This window comes from Homo sapiens, chromosome 3 (assembly GCF_000001405.40).
Source record: "Homo sapiens chromosome 3, GRCh38.p14 Primary Assembly".
Lineage (NCBI taxonomy): Eukaryota > Metazoa > Chordata > Mammalia > Primates > Hominidae > Homo > Homo sapiens.
The window spans coordinates 115,436,549-115,440,040 of NC_000003.12; the positions used below are offsets into that span (position 1 = coordinate 115,436,549).

The 3,492-nt window shown below is 41.8% G+C and overlaps 1 long non-coding RNA gene across 1 annotated transcript; it reads left to right on the forward strand.

Annotated features, from left to right (window-relative positions):
* Window positions 1-1,065: 1,065 nt before the first annotated feature.
* LOC105374051 (uncharacterized) lies at window positions 1,066-2,069 on the forward strand. The gene is made up of 3 exons (XR_924352.3): window positions 1,066-1,190; window positions 1,326-1,410; window positions 1,571-2,069. It is a non-coding gene; the product is annotated as an uncharacterized LOC105374051 (long non-coding RNA).
* The last annotated feature ends 1,423 nt before the right edge of the window (window positions 2,070-3,492 follow it).

Consider the following 3,492-nt stretch of genomic DNA (forward strand, 5'->3'; position numbering starts at 1 on the left):
CCTGAGAGACAGCAATGAGGAGTAACACTCTCAATGTTTAGAGGATCAGATGGTCACAGCCATTTTTATGGCTGGAGGTAAGAATAAATAGGAACTTACAGGAAGTAACCTCTCGTTTGGCTGATTGGATGGGGGCTTGGAAGAAGAGCGATAGAAAGATCATAGAAAAAAAGATCTGGGAAAGAGGCATGTGCCTCTGCCTGTGGCTGTAGATTGGAAGTTTGAATATCTTTGCATCTCATGGCACTGCCCGCAAGGAAACATTCACCAAGAATGAGGCATTAAACAGCCGTGTAGACAGCATGACTCAGCCAGTTGATGTCATCAGCATTTCATTGCCCAATGCTGGCCTGATGGATGCATGAAGAAACTGATCATTGCTGAGGGATGGGCTCAGTGGCATTTGTCCTCACTAACCAAGGCTGATTTAGGTATTGTTCTCCAACTCCATCTAGCTGCTGATTCCCCAAATTGCTAGCAAAAGAGATCATTACTGAGTCTCTGGTACAGCAAAATCCCTCAGGGAAACCAACCAGCCGCTCAGTGGCAAGTTGATTACACTGGAACCTTTCTATCCTGGAAAAGGTAGTGATTCATCTCGACTGGAAAAGTCACATATTGTGGTATGAGTTTCCTTTTCCTACCACAAGGCCTCAGCTAGCACCATCAGAAGAACGGAATATCTACCCACACCATATATGGTGTAACATAGCCTCAGACCAAACAACAATGTTGTAGGAGTGTACACATAACCATGTATCTATTGGTTCTGTTACATTCTGCACCACTCTGAAGTTGCAGGTCTGAAAGATAATGGAATTGACTTTTGAAGGAGCAGCTTAGATACTGGCTTGCAGATGATACCTTGCACAGATGAGGCATTATCTTTCAGGATGTAATATATACCCTAAATCAAAGACCCTTTTACAGTTCTATTCTCCAGTGGGTCCAGGATGGCTCTACTTATCATCACTACCAGTGAATGACTCAGTTGAGAAATGTTTCCTCAATAATGCATGTTTTGGTTCTGTGGATTCTAAACTAGGTTCTGGATTCTAAAGTGGAAATTGTTTTACCAGGGGGCCCAGTAAGAGTCCCATTAAACTTTAAACTATGGCTACTGTAGGGTCATTTAAGTTTCTTCATGTCAAGAGTCCAGTAAGCAATAAAAGAAAACAATGTTGGTAGAGGTAATTGATTCCGGCCATTAGGAGGCCATCCTCCTAATGGCCTCCTAGGGGTACTCAGTGGGGTCTGGAAAGCATAAGTTTGGTTGTCAGGTTATCTACTGGATCATGTCTTGATACTTTCCTGATTTTTTCAAGAAATGGACAAGTACAGCAGCCACAGTATGGTGTGGTTACCAGAAGCCTAGGCACTCAGGGATGACTGTCTGGGTAACCCCACCAGGTAAGCCATCTAGATCATCAGAGGTGCTAAATTAGGGTCAAAACAATCTGGAATAGGTTGCAGAGGAGGGAGAAAATGAGTTTCAGTTTCAGCTGTAAAACCAGCTATATTGGCAAAAGCTATATATATAGTTCATGCTACTCATCTTTCTTTTGTAAAGTTTCCCAGAAAAAGAGACCAACCAGAAACTTGAAGGAGTTCTTCCCAGATGGAATAAATTTACCGTGTGAATCACGTGAATCCAAGGGATGCAAGGATTGGCCTATACTGGATTGGATGCTCTGGTATACTACTCAGATTTCCTCTTCAGAACTAATGCATTTATCCCCCAGCTATGAAATTGTTGGCTGCTGGCAGTCTATAGCTAATGCAGTCACTGGAAATTATCCTTGGTTGAAGGGACCTAACTTGTCCAAGTCTACACCTATTTCCAGGAATAGTTCAATCCATTGACTTGTTGATGCAGGACTACACAGGTCAAGCCTTCTTGTTTTGATGTGGACAAATCTGAAGGGATATCCCAGCTCCAGACCTCGCATAGGTCTGAGCTAAAGAGACCTCATAGGTCTGTGTCAATTTCTGTCTTTACCCAGTCCTGCTTCTCTCATTCCTTTATAGGTGTTGTTCTGGAACTTCCTAATAAACCAGCTGCATGCAAATATCTGCCTCAGAGTTTGTTTTCTAAAAAGACTTCTCCTAAGGTAGAAGGAAAACTCTCCCTGCTTCCAGGCTTTTGAACATGCTAACTACTAGGAGTATCCTCGTCCATCCTCCTGAGCTTTACCTAATCCAGTGACTTCTTTTGATTACACAGAATTCTCCCCAGGAGTCTCTAAAAGACAATAAAACCAGGATGTAACCCTTGGAAGATTGATACATAAGAGTAGGTGGGAAAAGAAGTAGGTACAAGGATAGAGGGAAAGATAGGCTGGAGATGAGAAAAGTTCCCTTAAAACGTTGCAGAACCAAGAATGCAGGCATGTCAAGGTGCTGATGTGCCGAAAGGTTAAACAGTAGCTTTTGACTATGGGTGTCACATTTTAGCTGTCCTCCTTCCTCTACTTCAACCACAGCCTTTGTGGGTGGCCAATAACCTATGTTATGACCTTTCACACTTAACCTTTAATAACCACTCTCTTTGTAGTTGGAATAATCAGATTCTCTCTCTTCCTTTTCTTGAGAATTTGATTTAGGAAATGTGAAAATGGCAGAGTTAGCAGTGGAAGAAGAGTTGAAAGAGACTATGTAGTTAACCATGCATGAGGTTGAGCCTAGGCAATGAAAGCAGAGACTGTAATGTAAACTCAGGTCCAACAAATGCAAGTGGCTTGGAGAGGAGGTTGAAATGGATGGGCAAAGAAGTGGAGGCCAAGTGAGAGACAGATTCATATAGTCCATGAAAATGTAGCAGGTATGAAGTGGGGGCTCCCTGAAGCTACCCTCTCTCTAGTTCTGCTTCCAGCTCCAATTAATGTCTCGGTTGTTATAACAGACTCTCTTCTTCTTCAGATAACCTGAATAAGACATTGTTCTTTGTGATTAAGGAACCGAACTAAAACAGAAGCCAGGGGAAGAACACATGTTTTCTTTCTCCCAATCAATGCTCTCTCTACTGAATCCTCTGTCCATTGTACCTGCATAGGCCTCCTTCTCTACCACCTGACCAATATTCCCTATACAGCCTACATAGTGGGAGGAGGGAGGCAAATGGTCCATGAGATATAATTCATAAAATCTATACTAATTATGCCATAAGGTGACTGTCTCAAACAACCAGACTAACTCATTGCCAGTTTTTTAAAAGTATTCTAATCCTATGATGACTCTGTTACTGAATAAACATATTACCAATCATCCTATTTGTATGGGTAGGGCTGAATTTTCTTTCCAACTATATGTTTTATATATGTCTAAATAAAGGAGTAGACCACAAGAGTGAGTGAGAGCTCTAATAGGTGACTAATAACTTGTTTCCTTTTGGTAGCTTAAACTGGAAGCATTTAACTCAGCTCCGCATCAGACAGGGTTCAAACAGAGGAGTAGAATTAGTAGGATATTACATTAAGAGATTTATTGCAAAAA